The sequence below is a fragment of the Homo sapiens genome, chromosome 19 (assembly GCF_000001405.40).
Source record: "Homo sapiens chromosome 19, GRCh38.p14 Primary Assembly".
Classification (NCBI taxonomy): Eukaryota; Metazoa; Chordata; class Mammalia; order Primates; family Hominidae; genus Homo; species Homo sapiens.
In genome coordinates this window covers 37,557,099-37,582,308 of record NC_000019.10, presented here as the reverse complement: position 1 = coordinate 37,582,308, position 25,210 = coordinate 37,557,099, and the positions used below count along the sequence as shown (strand labels likewise).

Here is a 25,210-nt window from a genome sequence, read left to right as displayed (position 1 = left end):
GGAACGCTGAAAATTGGCTATTGGATTTGGCAGGATGAAGGGTGTTGGTGACCCTGACAAGGTGGGTTTGGCAATGAGAGGAACAAAAACCTCATTGTGGAGTATTTAAAAGAGAGTGAGAAAGAAGTAAGTCAACAATAAAAACTAGAGTGGGACAGTGAATTAACTCACCAGGCACTGTTGAAGGCCCATTTGAGGAACCCTCAAAGTTACAAATAGAGTTTACAATATTTTAGAAGGTTTTAAGAACACTGTAATAATTAGGGGAAAGAAGTGTGATTAGAGTTTATATATGCAGTATTATTTCAACTACATAAAAATCCATGGAACAAATTTAGGAAGGAAATATGGCAAAATGTTAATTATGGTGGTAGGAGAGAAAGAAAAGCAAAAGGTATAGACAGGAAGCATGCATACCTCTTGAGAAGTTTTGCCATTCTCCTGGTTCACCCTGCAGCTCCTGTCCACTGCAGGGTGAACCACAGAATCAGGAGAGGTTTTTGTTTTTTGTTTTTTTTTCACAGGAGAATCTTTAAAATGGTGGTAGGCTGGGCACAATGGCTCAAGCCTGTAATCCCAGTACTTTGGGAGGCTGAGGTGGGTGAATTGCTTGAGCCCAGGAATTCAGGACCAGCCTGGGCAACATAGCAAAACCCCATCTCTACTTAAAATAAAAATTAGCAGGGCATTATGTCACATGCCTGTGGTCCTAGCTACTTGGGAGACTGAGTTGGGAGGATCATTTGAGCCCCGAGGTCGAGGTTGCAGTGAACCATGATCACGCCACTGCATTTCAGCCTGGGCGACAGAGCAAGACCATGTCTCCAAAAAAAAAAAAAAAAGAAAGAAAGAAAGAAATGGAGATAAAATGCTGGAGGGGTGGTATAAAGGTAAATGATCTGGTAACTTCAGTGGTGGTGGTCAAAAAGGACGGTTGCTTGAAAGTGTGCTTTAAGACGTGTTGCTGTTATTGGTAATAACATCCTTTGACATTATGTATTATTATGTTAGTACAAGTTGTGCTAATCATTATTAAAAAGAGACTAATCTATTATGGATTTGGCAATTGGGGGTAGGAAACATGATGTTTGGGAATGAAATGATTAGAATATAAATAAATTGTCCTATTATTGTAGGAATAGTGAAAGATGTGAATAAATTTTAGCTTGTCTTTTTCCCAAGGGGGTCTCACGTTTTAAGGCTTCAGTGTTCTTTGGTGATGGATTTTAAGAATAGGCATATTTCAAAAATTTCAATTGAAGTAAATAATGCTAGAATTATTGAAAAAAATTATGTGGATGTTTCTAGTTTTGGTATTTAAACATAGATGCTGGTCACTTTTCAAAGTGTTATAGTGGAACTAATTCAAGTGTAATAGGTGTCTTAGTTCATACTGTGTTACTATAAAGGATACCTGAGGCTGGGTAATTTATACAGACAAGAGGTTTATTTGGCTCGTGGTTCTGCAGGTTGTACAAGAAGCATGGCACCTATGTCTGTTTGGCTTCTGGTGAGGACCTCAGGCTGCTTCCATTCATGATGGAAGGTGAAGGGGAGCCAGTGTGTGCAGAGATCACATGGTGAGAGGGGAAAGGTGACAGGCTTTTTTAAAAACCAGCTCCCTTGAGAACTAGTAGAGCGAGAGCTCAGTCACCCTTGAGGGAGGGCATTAATCTGTTCTCGGGGACCAGCCCCCATGACCCAAGCACCTCCCACTAAACCCCATCCCCCAAGACGCCATACTGGGGACTAAATTTCAACATGAGATTTGGTGGGTACAAACCACATCCAAACCATAGCAGATGGTATTTCATGTTGTATATCCATCAGTGTAGTTATTGTCATGGCATGCCTGATAAATCAAGAAAATGTTGTGGAAAGAAAGTCAAGCTAACACCTACAAATACAAAATGGATTTTGGCTCAGGTTGAGTGTATAACCTGAAAATATGGGAATCAGTGAATAAATCCTGTGATGGTGAAGACTGCAGCTATTGATAGAACATGTTAGAAATGTGCTGTAGCACAGTATATATCATGAGGATTGATGTCTGCTGATGAGTTAGAACAGTTCCTGTTAGGCCTCCAACTGTCAGCAGGAAAATAAAGCCTAAACCTGATAATATAGCTGGAGATCATTTAGTATTACCTCCATGTAGGGTTGCTAGTCAGTTAAATACTTTAACTCCTGTTGGAATAGCAATAATTATAGTAGCTAGTGTAAAATACATTCAGGTATCAATGTCTATCCGTGCTGTAAATATAGCCTCATACGATAAAGCTTATGAGCTAAATTGATATTATGGGTCATATTATTTCTATATAATCAAATGGTTCTTTTTTTTCCAGAATAATAGGTAGCAATATGTGAGATTATTCCAAAACCTGGTAAAATAAGAATGTACACTTTTGGATAGACAAAAATATCAGAATAAATGTTGGCCTAAAATTGGATCTCCTCCTCCAGCTGGATCAAAAAAAGTATATTAAGGTTATGGTCTGTCAGTAGTATGGTGATGCTGGTTGCTAGTACTGGGAGAGAGAGTAATAAAAGCACAGCTGCAATTAATAGTGGTGTCTGGTATTAGATATGGCTGGTGGCTTTATAACTGTAATAAAATTAAAATTAGTAGCTCTGAAAATTGATGAAACACCTGCAAAATGTAATGAGAAAATGGTAAGATCTTCAGAGGCTTCTGCATGTACTAGATCAGGCCATCTTAAGTTATTTTATACGGTGAAAGGTAGGGTCCACTTTCATTCTTCTGCATATGGCTAGCCAGTTATCCCAGCACCATTTATTGAATAGGGAATCCTTTCCCCATTGGTTAAGGGTCACCTGTTTTCCGATGTCACAGTACTGCTGCTTCCTGTAGAAGGGGCTTCCTCCACAGGGCCTGTGTGAATGGGTGTTGTGCTGGTGTCAGCTGGTTGGGTTGGTCTGACCTCAGGCCCTGGGGGAAATGGTCAGGCGCCAGCAGAGTTGGAATGGGGCAAGTAGTTCCCCAGTTCCCCCCAGGCCCCTAGCTGGCCCACTGGACAACCTGTGTGAGACCTGAAGGGGCTGGACTGCAGTCGGGCTAGCCCAGAGTTCAGGTGCTGGCTATGATGTGGGGAGGTGGGACAGGTTGGTTTCCAGGTCACTGGTCGAACTCTCATGCAGGGTCCTACAGAACACTTAGGTGGTGGGAGCCCAAGGGAATATCACGGTATGTGGGGTTTGGATTTTCAGAAGGGCTCTGGGCTGCAGGTGAAATGTTCAGGTGGGGGCAGGGCGGCTGTGCTGTGGGCCTTTCACTGGAGCAGGACTCCTGCAATGGAGACTGACAGCTGCGGAGCACGTGGCGCGCTTGCCCTTCCCTCCCTTCCAAACAATGCCGAACTTCACTGTTTAGGGCATACAGAGGTGCCAAGTGTTATCTGTTACCTCTGGGAGTTCTGCCCCAGAGGAACACAGAACCTCAGGCCACCAGAGTTTAGGCGGAGGTGCGGTTGCTGCAGAGGTGCGGTTGCTGCGCTGGAAGAGCCTTAGCCGCCTCAGAGGAGGTAGGGCAGGGGTTGCATGGTCTGCTATCTGGGAGGTTCCTGGGGGAATGTGGAGCTGTGCCTGCCTGCAGAGTTCAGGTGGGGACAGGGTCGCTGTGCTGGGGAGCTCAGGCGGGGGCAGGGTGAAGCCGAGCCTTTCCTGGCGAGGAGGGGCTGGGCATTCTGACCGCCCCTCAGCACTGTGACTGCGGCTTCCACTGGGGTTATGGCAGCTGGCACCAAGCTGCTCAGGGATCCGGGGCTTGTGGTGCTCCACATGGGCTTGAGCAGTGCCTCTGCAAAAACTCTAGGTGGCTTTCTGTGTTGGTCTAGTGGCCCAGGGATGGGAGTTGGGGGTTCCTCCTGTGCCCAGGATTGCAAAGGGCCATGTGGGAAGTGTGGCTTCCCCAGGGACTCTCACTCTCTCACCGTTTCACCATGTTAGGGAGCTTCTCCCACTCCATGCCAGTCCCAGGAAGGTGGCTGCCTGGCTTGTCTCTCTGTTCTCTGTGAGTTCCCTGGCGTCCGTGGTAAATCCTGACATGGTCTTCTAGACCAGCGCTATCCCAACCTTTTTGGCACCAGGGACTGGTTTCATGGAACACAGTATTTCTGGCCGTGGGGAGTGGGGCGAGAGGGGAAGGGCGGACTGGTTTGGGGATGAAACTGTTCCACCTCAAATCATCAGGCATTAGTTAGATTCTCATAAGGAGCCCGCAACCTAGATCCGTCCTGTGCACACTTTACTATAGGGTTCGAGCTCCTATGAGAATCTCAAGCTGCCGCTGATCTGACCGGAGGCGGAGCTCAGGTGGTGATGCTCACTCGCCCACTGCTCACCTCCTGCTCTGCAGTTCGGTTCCCCACAGGCTGCCAAACAGTACGGTCTGTGGCTCCGGGTTGGGGATCCCTGTTTTAGATGATCCACTTAAAAGAGACAGTATTTACTTCCGACTTTGTTTCCTCTCCCTGAGAGTGGTGCACACTAGCTGCTTCTAGTCAGCCATCTTGAGTGCCCCCCTAGAGTTACATTTAAATTTACATTGATTAAAATTTGAGTAAATTTAAAGTTGAACTGAAATTCTGTTCTGAATAGCCGGCTATCACCAGATTTTCACTTCTACTCATGGATCTTCTCACTATTTTGCTACATATATGAGTTAGTCTGTGGGTAGCTTGTCTGGTTTTGGGGTTTTTAGCTAAAGTTCTCTTTGTAAAATTGTTGTTAATTCATTACATAAAAGGTATAAAGGATTAGCTTTGCTTTTTTTGTCCTTAATATTCTTTCATCTTTGCATTATGATACTTTTTCTGTAGCACCTGAAGAAATTCCCTTCTCCTATACTTTATGTTGTGAGTAAATGTTTTGGTCTAAATAAATATAATTGTTAGGTTCTGTTGATTTGGGGCTAGGTTTGGTTCAAAGTGGTCAAATCAATATGAAACCTTCCAGATGTAGGCTGGTTTTAATAAACACTTTGGTTTATTAAAGCATATAGTATGCTTACTTTGTTATGATTTACCTCATATAAATTTATGTTAATTATAAATTTGGATATATTGAAATATTTGAGGAGGGTGATGAAAGGTTGTGTGCGTACTTCATGGCCCTATTCAATTAAGCTCTCTGTTCTTAATTTACTATGAAATTTTCCTTTCGCCTTAAATTTCATTAAGTTTGTTGTAAATGGAATGTTCTTTAATTAGAAAATATAGCCCATTTATTTCTGTTTTATAAGCTGCACCATGACCTAACGTTTTATGTAAATACTTGTGTTTAGTACCTTTTAAGGTTTTGCAGAAGATGGCGGTGTATAGGCTGAATTAGCAAGAGATAGTGAGGTTTACTGGGGTTTATTGATTACAAAAAAAAAGGGATATAAGCACTGCCAAGTCCTTTGTGTTTTAAGCTGTTGCTGGTAGTACTCTGGTGAATTAACAAAGTTACTCTGGTGAATTAACAAAGTGAATAACTTTGTTAATTTAATTAAGTTTATGGCTAAGCATATTGGGGTATTTCTTCCCAGTTTGGGTCTTTGCTATCATGTATTCAGAATATATTAAATCACTTTCATAGTTTATTTTTATATTAGCTGTAGCTTTTTATGACCTAGTTAAGGTATAACTTTGTTTATAATCTTAAACATGTTTTATGCTGAGTTTTGTTAAAAACATGTTTTATGCTGTTTTGTTAATTTGGGTTAGTCATATGACTGCAAGCATGAAATTTTACAAACCCTAAGGAAAATTAGTATAACTTAGTCAATCTTGTGTTAATTGCTTAATTTTTATCATTGCTGTTTTCTGTGGCTGTATGGTAGAGTAAGGTTTTACGAGCTGCTAATTAGTGTGCTTGAAGCCTGCTCTATTTTATTTTTGTTGATCTAGAGGACATTCTCACTAGAATGCAGATAGTTGCAAGTGTTACTAAAAATGAATAAAGAGGCCAGGACCAAACCTATTTGTTTATAGAGTTATATGAACTCATTTAGGCATTGTCAGTGCCTTGCTTTGTGAATTAAGCTACATTAGCTTATATGTGGAAAATTCTCTCTCAAGAAAAAATGGCTAAGTTTAAATGCTGTGTCATTATTGGTGGATTTTTTAGTAAATTTAGTAAAAAACAAACTTTTAACCCAGAAAGCCTAATTTTTAATTTATTTTTTGGATTTTGATAAATTCTTTAGGAGTTGGGCTAAAACTTAGTTCTAGATGAACTTGTGTGTGTGTGTGTGTGTGTGTATGCATGTATGCCTTACCTGTAGTTAATAAATACAAGATTTCCTGTTTTGAAGTTTGGCAAGAATAAAAGCCTTATATCCACAAATACTACAATAGCTTGAGATTGTGGAGTTAATTAACGGAAATTGTGTGTATATGTTTGTGTCATGTTTTTTACTATGTCCACCGAACATGGAGTAATTAACACTTTATGGTTTCAGTGTAGAGAAAGACTATTCAATTTCAGCTCAGCTACAGTTTGCTTTATTGCATCAAGTCCGTGACAGCCATGTTGGATCACAACATTCCCTAAATTAAAAAATACCAAGTGTGTGACACCATCACAGTGATGTGTGATCATGGACTGGTTAGCCATTAGTCCACCAAGATGTCTTATTAAAGAGGAATGAATGGGCAATCTTAAGTCCGTGACCCTGAAGTAAGAACCAGATGGCAGGCATAGTTTCATCCAAGTTTCATGGGCCCAGAACGAGAAGTGGGACACATCTCAAGCAAGTTGCTGGTTTCTTGAAGCTTAGTACTAAAGAAATCCTGTTGGCGGTAATAAGCTTGTTGTCAAGGATTGATTTGACTGAATGTACTGTGAATAATCAATAATTTCATGTCCTATGTAAAATATAAGGATTTAATGTATTGAACAGTATTTGTATGGTAAATCTGACATATGTGGGTATGCCATTCAATGGGTTAAGCACTGTTTGTAATTTCATGTATATGCTTATATGCATGGGGAGTGGATCTTAATGTATGATTACACATGTATATACAATGTACAATCAAGCATAATAGTACTAGTACATTATTATCAGGAAAAGCACATAATGCATCCATAAAGTAGTTAGATTTTATTTTCTCAGTACTGACATAGCATTTAACAATAATTTTTCTCAAGTAGCAGAGTCAGGTTATAGTTTAAGTGGAACATCAGCTTCAGAACTCTGAGACTTGAGGTTCTAGTTTTGTTATTTGGGGTGTTGTATTGTTAGGTTTGTTCATAGAGTTATTTATAATTATGTGAATAACAGGTTATGAAGTGGAGGTGATTTTTGATTTTGAAAATGTAAAGGATTGGGTAATTTTTGAGGGTGAAGAGTTTGAACGTCTTCAGGAAGTTTCTGTAGGTATAACAGCATTATATAGTTATGAAGGCCGACTCATGGCTGTGGCCAGTTGATCTTTATTTGTTGGTATCTTTATTGTTACTGAGATTACTCTGGGAAATTAGATAGCTAGGAGTATAGCCAGTAAAAGTGAGATAAGGAAGGAGAAGAAAATACTTTCATTAGGAGATGGTTATTGAAACTATCATTTGGAAGTTAGAAATGATTTTTAGAGTGACTTTTTCTAGTCATATCTACTAAAACTGGTGCTATGTTTAGGTTTGTTGAAAAGTTTAGGTATGGTGATAAACCATGAACAACTGTTGGGAAGAAACCTAGAAGGTTGGAAAATTTGTGTATGTATGAGGATTCAAATTTAAGATTTTATGTTATTAGTTGAGTTCTAATGTTATAATGAAACTTAAGGTAGTTAAAGCATGAGCTAAGAGTTTTAGGTAGAGTGGCATAGTCATTTGGGGAATAGTTATGGGAATAATATTTTTGGAGATAAAAAAATTTAGTGAAAATAATACTGATTGCAAGACATTCAATTGAATTAGCTCGGAGGGGGCTGTTTTTGTTGATTTGAGTTAAAGTTGAAAAGCAGGGTTGTCCCAGGACTGGAAAGAAAATAATTTGAGTACTATAGACAGCTCTTAGGGAGGTGACAATAAGCATGATTTAAAGGGCTCAGGTGTTAGCATACGTTGCGGTTTTAATAATTAAATCTTTGGAGTAGAAGCCTTTAAGGAAAGGCATATCTATTAAGTGTAGACTTCTAAAAATGAGTAAAGACATAAAGAGTATAGTTTTAAATAGGCCTCCTAGTTTTCTAGAATATTTTTCATCATTCAGGGTACGAATAATGGATCCAGAGCATAGAAAAAGTATATGTTTCAGGAATACATGTGTACAGATGTGAAGAAATGCTAAATGTGGTTGATTAATGCCACTAGTGACAATTAGGAGACCTAGGTTTGAGGTGGAAAAGGCAATGATTTTTTAAAATGTTATTTTGTGTTAGGGCACAGATTGCTGTGAATAAAGTAGTAATAGCAGCTAAGCAGTTTTGTTATTTTCTTTTTTCTTTTTCTTTCTTTTTTTTTTTTTGAAACAGGATCTCGTTCTGTTGCGCAGACTGGAGTGCAGTGGCACAGTCACGGCTCACTGCAGCCTCACACTCGGGCTGAAGTGATCCTCCCACCTTAGCATCCTGAGTAGCTGGGACTACAGTTGTGCACCACCATGCATGGCGGATTTTTTTTTTTTTTTTTGTAGACACAAGGTCTGTGTCTACTGTGTTGCCCAGGCTGGTCTTGCACTTCTGGGTCCAAGCGATCCTCCTGACTCAGCCTCCCAAAGTCCTAGCATTACAGTTGTGAACCACTGCACCCCACTGTGTTTTATTTTCAATTAGTAGATAAAAGTGTATTAATAAGAAAATTCTTGTTACAGCTATTGTGCTGAAATGAAGTAAGGCTAAAACTAGTGTTGAGCCCTCTGTCACTGATGGCAGTTATGGGTGAAAACCAAATTGGGCAGATTCACCAGTTGCTGCTGCCAGGAGAAGCCTAATTAGACAGTGTCAGGGTTGGGGTTGAGTGTGGAAATTTTTTGGAATTCTCAAATGCTTGAGTATAACAATCATGCCGTTAATAATAGGAATCCAGTATCTCCAATACTTTTATATAGAATTGCCTGGAGGCTGCTATGTTTGTGTTTGTTAGGCTGTGTTATCATCCATTAAGTAAAAATGATATAATTTCTGTTGTTTTTCATCCAATAAAGAGTTGGAAGAAAAAAAAAAGAGTTGGAAGAGGTTGGTGGCATTAGCTAAGATTAGTGTGGTGGTGAGGAATATAAGTATGTACTTAAGTAACTGATTAATATTTAGATCTGAAAGTATGTATCACATTGAAGATTCTATAATCAATCATGTGATGAAAGAAGCTACTAGTACAAATATTATTGAGACGTAGTCTAACTTAAAGCTGAGTGTCAGTTTTAAAGTTTGAAAGTCATTCAATGTCAGTTTGAAATAATTATTTCTTGCCCTGAATGAATAAATATTAGGGTTGGAAATAGGCTGGTGGCAAATGAGTATTTTTGTAAATAGTTATAGTAATTGGTAAAAATAAGTTGGTAAGTAAAATTATGATAGAAGAACAGAAGAAATTAATTAATTTTATTTGAAGTTGCACCAATTTTTGGCTCCTAAGGCCAACAGATTACTTCTAACCTTTAAAAGTTCAGAAAGCCACATTGTTATATATGGAGGCATGAGTTAGCAGTTCTTGCATACTTTCTTAGCAAAAACAGCAGTTCCCCCTTATCTGCGGCGTATACATTCCAAGGCTCCCCCAGTGGATGCCTGAAACCAGAGCTAGTACTGAGCCATATATATTATGTGTTTTTTGAATCTGATAAAGGAGATAGCTACTGGGTGGTGACTAATAGGCAGATCCTATTTGGATAATGGCAAAATTAGACAATATGCTGGTCAGAGGGATGATTCATGTCTTGAGCAAGATGGAGTAGGATGGTGTGAGATTTCATCATACTATTCAGAATGGCACACAGTTTAAAACTTATGAATTGTTTATTTCTGGTATTTTCCATTTAATATTTTGGACCTCAGTTAACTATGAGTAACTGAAACCACACAAAGTAAAACCTTGGTAAGGGGGAACTACAGTAAAGAGTTTTAAGCTTCTATATAGATTGACAACTGAATGTTTTATTTAAACTATGTTTACAGTGTATGGGTCCTAGAATAATTTTGGAGTTAAGTGATAGGGGTAACAGAAGTAGGAGATGTATAAATATGAGAGTATTTTCTCATGTGAATGATGGTTTGATGTTATTAATGTGATATGTGAATTTTTCTCATTGTGATGTGATTGATAGATAGGACTAATGTACTAATTATGGCCATATAGTCTATTTGGATAATGGTAAAATTAGATCATAAAAAAAGATATAATTTAAAATAATTCTCCATTCTGGTTAATAGTTGATAGTAAGGCTATCAACTGCTAACTCATGCCTTCATATGTAACAATATAGCTTTCTGAACTTTTAAAGGTTAGATGCAATCTGTTGGCCTTAGGAGCCAAAAAGTTGTTGCAAAAGGCTAGGTCAGTTAGGCTAGCCCATACTTATCATGTTTCTGTTAAAGGAAGTAATGTCTGTAGTCTGCGAGCTAGTAGTACAGATGCTCCTCAACATATGTTGGGGTTACTTCTGGATAATGTCAAAAATATTGTAAGTAGTTCTGTGTAACCCCTTGGTAAGTCAAGGAGCATACTGAATGTGTATTGCTTTCTTACCATGGTAAATTTGAAAAATCTTAAGTCTAAGTATCATAAGTTGGGGAACCTTGTGTATGGTTTGGCTATGGATTTGTTCATAGTTTGAATTTGTTTTTTTGTTTGTTTTTGTTTTTTTGAGATGGAGTCTCGCTCTCTCACCCAGGCTGGAGTGCAGTGGTGTGATCTCGGCTCACTGCAACCTCCACTTCCTGGGTTCAGGCGATTCTTTTGCCTCAGCCTCCCAAGTAGCTGGGATTACAGGTGCCTGCCACCATCCCTGTCTAATTTTTGTATTTTTAGTAGAGCTGGGAGTTTCACCATGTTGGCCAGGCTGGTCTCAAACTCCCGACCTGAGGTGATCTGCCCACCTCAGCCTCCCATGCTGGGATTACAGGCATGAGCCACCGTGCCTGGAATCGTAGTTTGAATTTGTAAGGCAAAATCATTTTGATGTTGTGTGGTCATGGGCAGTTATTAGGGCTCCTATAAAACTTCATGGCATTTGGATGAGAAATGCTATAATTAGTAATGCTGTATGAGCTACAGATGAATACACAATGAGTGATTCTAAGTCTGTTTAGTATGAACAAATAGAATTTGTTATAATTATTCCTCATAGTGATATTAGAAATAGGCTATATACTGTTAGTAGATTTAAAATTAGAGTAATTTGTATTACACCACAGCCTATTAATTTTAGTAATGTGGCTGCAAGAACTGTGGGTGCAGCATTTGGGGCTTCTACATATGCTTTTGGTAATCAAAGATGGAGGATATAAAGGGGTGGGTTTTTTCGTTGTTTTTCCTTTGTTTTTACTATGAATGCTATAATGCCTTCTATTTATAGGAGACTATTCAGAAGTTTGGTAGTATTTGAATTCAGTAGTAGGTTATTAAGATATTTAATGAATCCATGGTGTTTTAGATATAGATTAATTCTATGAGTAGGGGTAAAGAGCCAATCAGTGTATACAACAGGAAATGAAAGTCCTGTGTTTAATCATTCTGTTTGGTTTTCTCATTGGGTAGTAACAATTACAGTTTGAATTAGAGTTGCTCCAAAGAGACTACAGAATACAATTAGTTCTATGATGGTAAATGTCATGATTAGGAATATTTGTAGAAAAATTAACATTGAGTATATTTTTTTGTATATCTGATTCCTTGAGTTGGTGTTGACTTGCTATAATTATGTCTATCTTGGGAGAGGTTAGGTGAAGCGAGGTGGAGGGAAAGACATGAAGGAAAACATTGTTTCTGGCCAAGTAGTGTGCTCAAAGTTTCAAAAGGATCAAGAAGGTGAAGAAAATAATCACAGGCGGGGCAGAGGTTGTAGACGATTTGTAGAAAGTACACTGTGAATTCCAAAAGGCATAGTTTGGAGTGAAGTAGGACATGGATGGGATAAGAGTCCTAGTGATGACCAAGGACCCAGGAAACCAAAGCTTTTAAGGTAATTGAGATAACCCAGAGATGTCAGGCATTAAAGGATTGGCCTCTAGTGGTCTTTTAGGGGAGGGTGGGTGGTTATTCTTTTTATAACTTAAGGATAGTAAGGCTATTACACTAAGAGCTTATGGAAATTGAGATCTCTGTGGAGAAGCCAGCCTTAATAGCAGAATGTGGAGGTCTTACCACAGCTATGGAGGCTTTCCTTGTAGACTGCAGTGGGTGGAGTGGCTGTCTTACAGAAGAGAGATTACTGGAACAGCATTGCTAGGAGCCTGGGATTGGGGACAGCTTCTCAGGAAGTGCAATGGTACATGAAGTTTCAGGTGAGCCCTGAAAGAATGAAAAACAGGTAAGGAGACTGAGGATAGAGAGAAGAGGGAAGAGCATTCCTAGCAGAAGTAACAGTGTACTGCAGGCCATAGGAGGATGGAGCTTGGTTTGTATGAGGTATTGAGAGAAGGCTTTTGCAGCTGGAGCCTAGTGAGGCAGAGGTGCCACAAGGGAGTCGGAGAGGTTGACTGGAGCCAGGCCGGGCAGAACCTGCTAGAGGTTATGAATACAACCTAGTAGGTTATAAGCAGCACTTGTTGTTTTTAATAAAACAGGAGATAAAATAACAAAATATGAATATATAATACATATAGCAAAGATAATTTTATGACATCCTTGTTTTATGTTTGAGTGTGTGTACTCAGTCATAATATGTATTTCTTACTATGAAATTTTAGTCAAAAGAAGTTTGAAAAATACTGCAGAAGAGTTTAGATTTTATCCCTCCAATTTTTGCAGGCTATTGAAAAATCTTAAGATGGTGACATAATGTGATTTTCATATTTACTATTCCATTCTATCTGCCAGATGGAGATTAGAACAAAGGGTCTCATAACATTACTGAGTAGGTTTTTGTTGTGGTTCCGGATGCTTTGGGGCCAGGCGCAGTGACTCATGCCTGTAATCCTAGTGCTGTGGGAGTCCGGGGCAGGTGGATCACTTGAGGCCAGGAATTTGAGACCAGCCTGACCAATATGGTGAAGGCCTATCTCTACTAAAAATACAAAAATGAGCCAGGCATGGTGGTGCACACCTGTAAGCCCAGCTACTCAGGAGGCTGAGGCAGAATTGCTTGAACCTGGAGGCGGAGGTTGCAGTGAGCTGAGATGGCACGACTGCACTCCAGCCTGGATGACAGAGCGAGACTCCATCTCAAAAAAAAAAAAGATGCCTTGGGCTTCCCGAGTGTCAGCAGTGGTGTTGGTGATAAGGTAACAGATTCGAGAGCTACTTAGGAGATATATTCAGTAGGACTTGATGGGGGCAAGAATAAAAGAAACCTCCTAAAATGACTCCTCCTTTTCAGACTCCATTTTGTTGTCTTCACTCATCACCCCTTTTGCAGTTTTCCCTTTTTTCACCATATAGTTTTTTCATTAATTTAATGACAATAAAAAGAGCTGCTACTTAATTGAATACATTTTTATATGTACTCCTCATTCTGGGCACAGTTCTGAGACTTTGGTATTCTAATCTTAACTTTTTCTATATTCCTCTAGATTTCTGTTTAGCACCATCCTGTGTTCTCATAGTGCCTCCTACCCCAGAATCATATTAGATTAATATTTCTTCCCATTTTTATTAGGGCACTAGCACATAGGTAGCTATTTTGGGTCCCAACTGAATTTATTTGATTCCTTATAGTGTTCCCTTAATCACCATAAGCCCATTGATTTCTTTCAGTGTTTTATAAACCATATTGTTCTTCTATGAAAGAAACAAAAGCAGGGTCTATCTTGTTCTAGGATGTGTTGCTGACATGAATTGGTGTTAAACTGAGCTGTGGTGTGTATATGGCAAGTGGGGGGGGGTAGTTGCTTTTGTTTTTATCATTTCTTTTTGCTTTTCAGCAAAAGTGTGTTTTCTCAAGTTTTGGAGGCTTATTTCTAAAAGACTGTTTAAATTTGAGCTTACTGATGTGTATTTATTTTTCTTCCCATGACCAGTCTTTGTTATTCTACAGCCTATATACAGTGGTCAGAGACCCTGTGCCTGCTGATCCAGTTACATCAGATAGGTTTCTCTGCATTTGAAAAGTACACTTGTTTCTCAACTTCTTTCTTCGGAATAATATAAGATCTTTATTGTGTAAACTTGTCACTATTTCTAGGAGATTTTGAGGTACTTCTTTGGGAAATATAAGAACATTTGGCCTTAAGTAATAAATATTGGAAAGTAAGACATGAAAAACTATATTAAAGGAATAAAACATTATATGTATACTGTGTTCTGGGGACTAGCTATATAATAAAACAGGCATTTTCCCCCTACACATGTAGAGCTTGAGGAGCAGAAAGATCAACAGATAAATAAATGAAATTTTAGAATTGCAAAAATTCAAACAAGAATTAGGAATAAATTACAGGTATAGAAAATACCTGGCATGGACCTAATTAAAGTGATCCAGGATAGTCTTTCTGAGCAGCTGACATTTAAGCTAGGACATTTCACACGCAAAGGAGGTGGCCACTTTGAGAGCATTCTTGGCAGATGGAACAGCATATGGAAAATCTAAAATGGGAAAGAATTTGACATGTTCTTGGAACTTAAATCAGGCCAATAAGATTAGAGCATTGTTCTGAAGATAGTAGTGGCTCAATTTGAGGCTTAAAAGGTACGTTGAAGAAATTGGAGAAATTTAAGAAAGAACTGGATCGTAAAGGGGCTTGTAGGCCATGAATAGGAGTTTGGATTTTATTCTAAATACAAGGGTAAACCATTGAAAGATTATTAGCTCTATTCTCAAACTTTGTGTTTTATGAGAAGCATCTAAGGAGATTTATGAATGAAGGAACATATATATTTTAGAAATTGTTGACAAATATTGAATGCCAGCAATGTGTAAGTAATGATGTTAGGCACTAGAGATAAAGCAGTATATGAAACAAAGCCCTTGCTTTGATTAAGCATGGGACAGACAGACAATAGTCAAACTTTAGAAATGGTATATCCATTAGTGAAAAATGCAATATAGGTACAATTATGTGTTGGATGTTTTGATAATGTGACAGCTGAGCAGAAAACTGAAATGAGGGAACAAGCCATGCAGGTATCTAGAGGAAGGGCATTCTAAAGACAAAACTGTAGGCATATGCTTGACACTTTTTTAACACCAAGGAGGCCATTATGACCACAGCCAAATGAATAATTAGGGGAGTGGTAAGTGATGATATCAGAAAAGTGGCCAAAGTGGGAGATGACATAAGAAAAGTGGCCACAGGCAAGCTTGTGTAGGGTCTTGTGAGCCATATTAAGGACTTTGGATTTTATCCTGAGATGGCAGACCATTAATAGGGAAGATTTTTAGCAGGGGAAATCATGTTATATAAACCACATTTTAAAAGAATTCCTCTGGCTGCTGTATGAAGAATAGATCATAGAAGCAAGGATGAAAGCAGAGAAACCAGCTAAGAGGTTATGACAATGAGAGAGGGGTGACTTGGCCTAGGATGGTGGTAGTAGAGGTGGTCAGATTCTTAATGTTGACAGGAGAGCTGATAGGATTTGTTGATAGATTGTATGTCCAGCTACACATCTGTTTGTTTTCAAGAGGGTGTTTTTATTACTATTTTATAAGCCTCCTGGGTGTCTCTAAGCCATTCCAAAGTTTGAGAACCACTGACTTAACCTATTTTTCTAATTACCTTCTTTCCTATAAGCTCTCCTTTTTCTTTATTCTCTCCTTGTGCCTTTAAAGAAAAATGGCAGAAAATATTTCTGTACTGTTTAAGCCATTCTATTCTTAATGAGAATTATTTTCATCTATCATTTTTACCATAGAATTTTTATTTCTCCTTGTAAACAAAAGCAGGAATTTGCTTTCTTTTTATTCTACAGACTTGGAATCCAGTTGTGTGACCAAAAAGTTATCTCCAGAAAAGGAAATTTATGAAATGGAATCACTCCAGTGGGAGAATATGGGGAAACGTATCAACCATCACCTTCAATACAATGGTCTTGGAGACAATATGGAGTGCAAAGGCAACTTAGAGGGTCAAGAAGCAAGTCAGGAAGGGCTTTACATGTGTGTCAAAATTACCTGTGAAGAAAAGGCCACTGAAAGTCATTCAACCTCTTCTACTTTTCATCGGATAATTCCTACCAAGGAAAAATTGTACAAATGTAAGGAATGCAGACAAGGTTTCAGCTACCTGTCATGCCTTATTCAACATGAGGAAAATCATAATATAGAAAAATGCTCTGAAGTTAAGAAACACAGGAATACCTTTAGCAAAAAGCCAAGCTATATTCAACATCAGAGAATTCAGACTGGTGAGAAACCTTATGAGTGTATGGAATGTGGAAAGGCCTTTGGTCGTACTTCTGATCTCATTCAACATCAGAAAATTCATACTAATGAAAAACCTTATCAGTGTAACGCATGTGGGAAAGCTTTTATTCGTGGTTCACAGCTCACTGAACATCAGAGAGTTCATACAGGAGAGAAACCATATGAATGTAAGAAATGTGGAAAAGCCTTTAGTTATTGTTCACAATATACTCTTCATCAGAGAATTCATAGTGGTGAAAAACCCTATGAATGTAAGGATTGTGGGAAGGCCTTTATTCTTGGCTCTCAACTTACTTACCATCAGAGAATTCATAGTGGTGAGAAACCTTATGAGTGTAAGGAATGTGGAAAGGCCTTTATTCTTGGTTCACACCTTACATACCATCAGAGAGTTCATACTGGTGAAAAGCCTTACATATGTAAAGAATGTGGGAAAGCCTTTTTATGTGCCTCCCAACTGAATGAACATCAGAGAATTCATACAGGAGAGAAACCCTATGAATGTAAAGAATGCGGGAAGACCTTTTTTCGTGGCTCACAACTTACTTACCACCTGAGAGTTCATTCAGGTGAGAGACCTTATAAATGCAAAGAATGTGGGAAAGCCTTTATTTCTAATTCTAATCTTATTCAACATCAAAGAATTCATACCGGAGAGAAGCCCTACAAATGTAAGGAATGTGGAAAGGCCTTTATTTGTGGCAAACAACTTAGTGAACATCAGAGAATTCATACAGGTGAGAAACCCTTTGAATGTAAGGAATGTGGAAAGGCCTTTATTCGTGTTGCATATCTTACTCAACATGAGAAAATTCATGGTGAGAAACATTATGAATGTAAGGAATGTGGGAAGACCTTTGTACGTGCTACACAACTTACATATCATCAAAGAATTCATACAGGTGAAAAGCCCTACAAATGTAAGGAATGTGACAAGGCCTTTATTTATGGCTCACAACTTAGTGAACATCAGAGAATTCACAGAGGTGAAAAACCTTATGAATGTAAACAGTGTGGGAAGGCTTTTATTCGTGGCTCACACCTTACTGAACATCTGAGAACTCATACTGGAGAGAAACCCTATGAATGTAAGGAATGTGGGAGGGCCTTTAGTCGTGGCTCAGAACTTACTCTGCATCAAAGGATCCATACTGGTGAGAAACCCTATACATGTGTCCAGTGTGGTAAAGACTTTAGATGTCCTTCACAACTTACTCAACATACAAGGCTTCATAATTGAGAAAGCCTTGAATGTGATTAAATTTAAGAAAATCTTCATCTATTTCATATCTATAATGAATGTAGAACATCTTGCTTCTGCTCAGAATCTGCTCATTCTTAGAAGGCCTACATTAACATGGATGCAGAATAATTTCAGAAACCCCTTAAATAATTCCTTAACATCTCTATAAACGCTAGAATATAATGCTGAATTATATCCTTTATTAAGCATCATCTCCATTTCACCATATCCTAACTGAAATCCTATATATTTCTTGTGTGTTCTTTTCTATTTGTAAAATACTGTAATTGTATTACAATGACTAAATTATAATTAAATACATATAATTCCCTTTCGATAGCATCTGATATTTGTTGTTAAAATGATTGCCATTATCATCATTACATACTGTTAGAGAACTCAAATGGTGGGAATATTTTATGATTACAGTAAAAAGATGCAACCATTCTCTTATCATGTAGCCCCTTTAGAACAACAGATACTTTATTTTAGACAAAACCTTTAAAGTATAGTAAAGGTATGAAGGACTTCTGAGCATCAGATAATCCACACCAGGAAGAAACTTCCAAAAATTGCTTTAGGGCTGTTGTTTTTTGTTGTTTTGTTTTTTAAGAAAGTGAAAGATTATTTTTCTACAACAAATTCCAAAAGCAAAAGTTTTTGGCCCACATTTTCTGATTGTTACTTTAAGGGAAAAAGAATTTCTTAACAAAATGATGGCCAAGGTAGTTCCATATATATACATATATTCCACATGTGTGTATGTGGAATATATACATATATTCCACATGTGTGTATGTGGAATATATACATATATTCCACATGTGTGTATGTGGAATATATTCCACATGTGTATATATTCCACGTGTATGTATTCCACATGTATATATTCCACATATGTATACATTCCACGTGTGTATATAGTCCCCATATGTATACATTCCACGTGTGTATATATTCCACATATGTATACATTCCATGTATGTATGCATATATGTATTCCATATATGTATATATTCCATATACCATATATGTATATATTCCACATATGTATTCCATATATATATTCCATATGTATATGTGTGTGTGTATAAAATATATATTTGCCTTAAATGGAAATATAAACAAAATTTACCAACTACAGTTTTTCCTCATTTGAATCTAACCCATTTCTGATATACTGAATGGTAAATTTTTAGAGACCCAGATCTCGGAGGCTACATTCCATTTTTTGGTCTTTTTGTCTTTTTTTTCTTTTTTTTTGAGACAGGGTCTTGCTCTCCTTGTTCAGGCTGGAGTACAGTGGCACAATCACAGCTCACTGCAGCCTTGACCTCCTAGGCTCAAGCTATCCTCCAACCTCAGCCTGCCAAGTAGCTGTCACCATAGCTGTTCATCACCATGCCTAGCTCATTTAAAAAAAAATTTTTTTAGAGATGGGGTCTCACTATGTTTCCTCATCTGGTCTTAAACTTCTAGGCTCAAGCATCTACCTGCCTCAGCCTCCAGAAGTGCTGGGATTACAAATGTGAGCCACCACATCTGGCCCCATTATTTTATTTTTGGTTTGTATTATTTTTATTTGGCCCCATTATTTTAAATAGGAAAAACAGTATGTTTTCAGTCCATTAAAAAATCCTAACCAAATTTAATTTGAATTCAACTTAATTTAAGCCACCTAAATGACCTCTATCAGGGATTTCTGAATAATGTAAAACACTCAAAAGCCAGTTAACAGTTAATTACCAGATATGTTTGTGCATGCAGTGATTTTGAAAAATATAATACATGAATTATGCTTTCCTTCTATGCTTTAAGGAACAGATACTATAGTGACAATAAATGTAATACATTAGTACATAATGGACGCAAATGACAGATAAAAACAGCTTTAAATAATTTGAACTTGTTAATTAGAATGTTGTTGAATGAGGGCTGATGGTCAGAAATTAATGATGGTGAGAAGAGGTTAATGGTGTTCAGTGAGTGAAGGTGAGTTAGAATAATATATTGGAGCAGCAATCAATCAATGCCTACAGTTCTTCTATGATTCCAAGCATCTGGTGCACAGAACTCAAGACCTCAAAATTGAGTTACTGTATACAAAGCTGTTCATAGAAAAACAAATGTTACCAAGAAATACTTACCTTTTCTATATGCAGTGTTATCTCTTGTCTTCTAATACATTATCTTTTTTGGTTTCAAACAAAAAAAAAACGGAGTTTCGCTCTTGTTGCTCAGGCTGGAGTGCAGTGGTGTGATCTTGGCTCATTGCAACCTCCACCCCTGGGTTCAAGTAATTCCCCAGCCTCAGCCTCCCACGTAGCTGGGATTACAGGTGCGTGCCACCATGCCTGGCTAATTTTGTGTTTTTAGTAGAGGCAGGGTTTCTCCATGTTGGTCAGGCTGCTCTCAAACTCCTGACCTCAGGTGATCTGTCTGCCTCAGCCTCCTGAAGTGCTGGGATTATAGGCATGAGCCACCGCACCCGGCCTACATTATCTTTAATGAACATTGCAGCCCACTGAATTGTCATCACTCTGGAAACCACTGATTGTATATAGTGTATGATTATAATCTAAATGTTAATTCACTGTTTTACAAACTATTGTCCAAAAAAAAGTGGTAACTGAGAATCATTAGAACTCTGAATAATCAGTGTAACCACCATGATGCCACAACACTCATGCATTCTTCGTCTCTAAAGTACATTTTGTTCAGATTGGATAAGTTATGCCTTCATTATTCAGTCATTAACAATTGAGAGATTAACATAATTGCAAAATTATAAATTTAAAGGAAAAGTTAAATGTCAGTAGACTGTTAGGTGCCCTTCTACCATCAAACATACTTGCATATTAACTGCCATTTGCAGACAATATCTTGAGCCAGACTTTTCAAAAATATGTTCAAGAAATAATTCCCAAAATACGTAGAGCGGGTTCTACCTCATTGCATATGATACAGTGCATAACCAAATTTCCTTACTGGCATTGTGAATTCCACTCTGAACAAACCAAATTAAAAGGTTGAGAAGACCTGCAGTAAAGAAAATACTATCTTTTGTTTAACCCATTGTTTCCCAGTCCTGACCATTAATCCTTTCTCTTCTGTATGCTTATTAATATCTTTGGCTTGTGAACACACTTGCAGAATTTCTTTTTAACCATAAAGAATGATGGTAAGGGGAAATTTTAAGCATTATGTCAGTTATTTAAATTTGATGGATGATATAGTGCTTTTCTGTTCTTCAGTCATGGACTACACTAGAGAGGAACAATTTCTGTAGCCAAGGTTTTTACAATCCTCTACACTCCATCATTGTCTAGATCAATTTTATAAGGGTTTTGTCTTTTTTTGTTTAGAGGTGGGCTCTCTGTCACCCAGGCTGGAGTGCAGTGGCATGGCTCATTGCAGCATCAAACTCCTGGGCTCAAGTGATCCTCCTGCTTCAACCTTCCAAGTAGCTGGGACTATAGGTGTGCACCACCACACCTGGATAATTTAAATTTTTTCTTTCTTTTTTTTTTTTTTTTTTTTTTTTTTGTAGAGACAGGGTCTTATTTTGTTGCCCAGGCTGGTCTCAAATCCCGGGCTTCAAGTGATCCTCCTGCCTTGGCCTCCTAAAGTACTGCGATTACAGACATGAGCCATACCTGACCAAGGCTTTTTCTGTTGTTACAAGATTGTTTAAAAGAAGAAACTTAATAACTGTTAACTCTTTCAGCACTTATGTTTATTTCATAAATCATGTTTTCAGACAAATTTCTCTCAAAATGGTTGGTGGGGGAGGAATGTACACTAATCAGAATTACTAAGACAGACAAAAGTGGTTGCAGCACTGCTTTAGTTGCTCCTTTGAGTTTTGTTACCATCATAACTGTTCAAAACGAAGCTTTACTTTCTTTACATCCATGTTTTTCTTTTTAAAAATCATTACATTCACGCCTGTAATCCCAGCACTTTGGGAGGCTGAGGCTGGTGGATCATGAGGTCAGGAATTCAAGACCAGCCTGGCCGATATGGTGGAACCCCGTCTCCACTAAAAATACAAAATTAGCCAGGTGTGGTGGCACATGCCTGTAATCTCAGCTACTCGGGAGGCTGAGGCAGGAGAATTGCTTGAACCCAGGAGGCAGAGGTTGCAGTGAGCCAAGTCGTGTCACTGCACTCCAGCCTGGGCAACAGAGCAAGTCTCTATCCTAAAAAAAAAAAAAATCATTACATTTATCTTACAAAGTTACATACGAAGTTTATCCTATACCAAGGAAATAGTGTAAAATTTATTTTTATTTATATTTTTATTTTTTTCGTTTTGAGACAGAGCCTCATTCTGTCACCCAGGCTGGAGTGCAGTGGCGCAATCTCAGCTCACTGCAATCTCTGCCTCCCGGGTTTAAGCAATTCTCCTGCCTCAGCCTCCTGAGTAGCTGGTATTACAGGCGCCTGCCACCATGCCCAGCTAATTTTTATATTTTTTGGTAGAGATGAGGTTTTGCCATGTTGGCCAGGCTGGTCTCAAACTCCTGGCCTCAAGTGATCCACTCGCCTTGGCCTCCCAAAGTGCTGGGATTACAGGTGTGAGCCACCACGCCCAGCTAAAAAAATTTTTAAAAACCACCTTCATTGTATTGCACTCATCTGCTGTTAAAACTTTCGTGTTTATTTTTTGATGTTTTCTTCTGTGCTCAAGTGTGGGTGTCATTTCAGTCTGGTGACAGTATACTATAATAGGATAACTGCAAATATATCTGTCACTTTAATTTGTTTTAACTTTAGAAAATTTTAAACATGGGCAAAAATAAAATAGTACAGTGTACCCATAACCTCTTTAATAATCACCCTATTTTTGCCTTTCTTGTTTTCTCTCCCAATAAGTTTTCACTGGGATATATTAAAGACAACCAGCATGCTATATACCTTTTCCCCCTAAATATTTTCAGTATGTATCTTGAACAGATAAGTCAACCTTTCACAATAATAGTTGGTTTGAGTCCAGATTTAAATAAGGTCTGTACATTATATTTTGTTGGTATTTGTCTTGTGCACCTTGCTTTTCTTTTTCAAAATGCCTGCAGAATTACATGTAGCAACCTAGTAACAGCAATGCCATGATATACTCTATCCATTCCCCATAAGCTGAGTATTCAGGTTGAGTTTTCTATTTCTGCAAACTAGTGCAATAAATATCTTTATATGTTTATTCTTGGATTTTATTTATATAGAATATATTACAACTGATTATACTGCCAAGTCAAAAGTATTTGTGCATTTTAAATTTTAATAGATCATGCCCAATTACTTTTGAAAATGTCAATTTACATTCTCACCAATAATGTGTGAGAGTGTTTCTTTCCAGTGACATCACCAGTGTCAAAAAACATGAGCTTCTGTTGGAGCCATGATGGAATAATTGGTTTGTATGACTGTGATCCCTGACAGAAGAGAATCATGTGGGCCAGGTGTGGTGGCTCATGCCTGTATTCCTCGCATATTGGGAGGCCAAGGCAATCACTGGAGCGCAGGAGTTTGAGACCAGCCTTGGCAAGTTAGTGAAAACCCATTTCTATAAACAATACAAAAGTTAGCCAGGTGTGGTGGTGCATGCCTGTATTCTCAACTACTTGGGAGACAGGTGGGAGGATCACCTGAATTTAGGGAGGTCAAGATTGCAGTGAGCTGTGATCATGCCACTGCATTACAGCCTGGGTGACAGAGTGAAACACTCTCTCTCTGTCTCTCTCTCTCTCTCTGTCTCTCTCTCCATATATATATATATAGTGAAGTTGTGCAATAGTCACACAAACTTTCTACTTGGAGACACATTCTGGATAATGAGAAAGCTGATCCCAAACAACATGAAGTTCTTACTGTGTTAAGAAGATAACAGAGACATGCTGGCTGGTGCAGGACAGAGTTCCAGAGAGGAAGGAGATATACAGAAAAGATTTTCAGAAATGTGCACAGAGGTCTTTCTCTCTACCCGGCCTAATTGGGACCCAAATTCCTCAAGTGGAGGGAGAGCTTTGGATGATTTCCACCGGTATCTCCTCGCAGGTATTAAGGGAGCTGCTCGGAAACCCATAAACTTGTCTAAGGCGAATGAAGTCATCCAGGGGCATGATGAGTCACCAGGACCGTTTTTAGAGCACCTCCAGGAGGCTTATCAGATTTACACCCCTTTTGACCCAGCGGCCCCCGAAAATAGCCATGCTCTTAATTTGGCATTTGTGGCTCAGGCAGCCCCAGATATTAAAAGAAAACTCCAAAAACTGGAGGGATTTGCTGGAATGAATATCAGTCAGCTTTTAGAAATAGCCCAAAAGGTTTTTGACAACCAAGAGTTTGAAAAACAAAAACGAGCAACACAGGCAGCTGAAAAGGCTGCTGATAAAGCATTCAAATGACAAACAAAAATCTTAGTGGCGGCTATCCAAGAGGTACAGAATGAAATGGCCCGTTAATTTGGACAGACACACAAGAACAGGCTTTTTGAAACCTGAAAAAGGCATTAACTGAAGCCCCTGCTTTAGCCCTCCCTAATATCTCAAAGCCGTTTCACCTGTTTGTCCATGAAAGCCAGGGAGTTGCTAAAGGGGTGCTTACTCAGACCTTAGGACCCTGGAGACGCCCAGTAGCCTATTTATCTAAGAAACTGGATCCTGAGACCTCTGGATGGCCAAGTTGTCTGCGAGCCAAGCAGTAGCCGCTACAGCAAGCCTAGTCCAAGAGGCTGATAAGTTAACTCTGGGCCAAAATTTAACCCTTAAGGCTCCTCATGCCATAGAGACTTTACTTCAAAGTGCTTCTGGCGAATGGATGTCAAATGCTCGCATCTTGCAATATCAGAGTTTACTGTTAGATCAGTAAACTGACTTTCTCTTCCACACGGTGTTTAAATCCAGCTACTATCCATGACTGTCAGGAACTGTTGGAAACTACCGAAACTGGCCCATCCGATCTTCAAGATGTGCCCCTAGAGAAGGCGGACGCCACCGTGTTCACAGACGGTAGCAGCTTTCTCGAGCAGGGAGTACGAAAGGCCGGTGCAGCTGTTACCACGGAGACAGATGTGTTGTGGGCTCAGGCTTTACCAGCAAACACCTCAGCGCAAAAAGCTGAATTGATCGCCCTCACTCAGGCTCTCCGATGGGGTAAGGATATTAACGTTAACACTGACAGCAGGTACGCCTTTGCTACGGTGCATGTACATGGAGCCATCTGCCAGGAGCGCAGGCTACTCACCTCAGCAGAAAAGGCTATCAAAAACAAGAATCCCCCGTCTTCAAAGCCTAACAGATCAAGCAGCTCTCTGGGGAACAACCTGCGACCAGGTAAATGCCAAACAAGGTCCTAAACCCAGCCCAGGCCACCGTCTCCGAAGAAACTTGCCAGGAGAGAAGTGGGAAATTGACTTTACAAAAGTAAAACCACACCAGGCTGGGTACAAATACCTTCTAGTACTAGTAGACACCTTCTCTGGATGGACTGAGGCA

The 25,210-nt window shown here is 38.9% G+C and overlaps 2 protein-coding genes, 1 long non-coding RNA gene and 3 pseudogenes across 9 annotated transcripts in view; 1 reads left to right on the top strand and 5 right to left on the bottom strand.

Annotated features, from left to right (window-relative positions):
• ZNF571 (zinc finger protein 571) overlaps positions 1-18,049 on the top strand; it is a 30,533-nt gene extending 12,484 nt beyond the window's left edge. For all 4 annotated transcript variants that reach the window (XM_017026858.2, NM_016536.5, NM_001290314.2 and 1 more), the window contains one exon: positions 16,018-18,049. In XM_017026858.2, the coding sequence (XP_016882347.1) occupies positions 16,018-17,711 (1,694 nt within the window). In that variant the 3' untranslated portion in view covers positions 17,712-18,049. The remainder of the gene's footprint in view (positions 1-16,017) is intronic.
• ZNF571-AS1 (ZNF571 antisense RNA 1) overlaps positions 1-25,210 on the bottom strand; it is a 38,400-nt gene that overhangs the window by 5,040 nt on the left and 8,150 nt on the right. For 2 of the 4 annotated variants that reach the window (NR_038247.1, NR_038249.1), the window contains exons 2-3: positions 16,220-16,278; positions 12,313-12,459 (exon numbers count right to left, since the gene is read on the bottom strand). This is a non-coding gene — a long non-coding RNA (ZNF571 antisense RNA 1). Of the gene's footprint in view, positions 1-12,312; positions 12,460-14,558; positions 14,692-16,219; positions 16,279-25,210 lie in introns of all 4 variants that reach the window. The other 2 variants (NR_038248.1, NR_038250.1) reach the window with 2 other exon arrangements.
• ZNF540 (zinc finger protein 540) overlaps positions 1-25,210 on the bottom strand; it is a 62,806-nt gene that overhangs the window by 31,871 nt on the left and 5,725 nt on the right. The window lies entirely within an intron of this gene.
• Positions 1,802-2,701, bottom strand: MTCO1P41 (MT-CO1 pseudogene 41; annotated as a pseudogene).
• On the bottom strand, positions 7,561-9,466 carry MTND5P45 (MT-ND5 pseudogene 45; annotated as a pseudogene).
• Positions 11,084-12,033, bottom strand: MTND4P41 (MT-ND4 pseudogene 41; annotated as a pseudogene).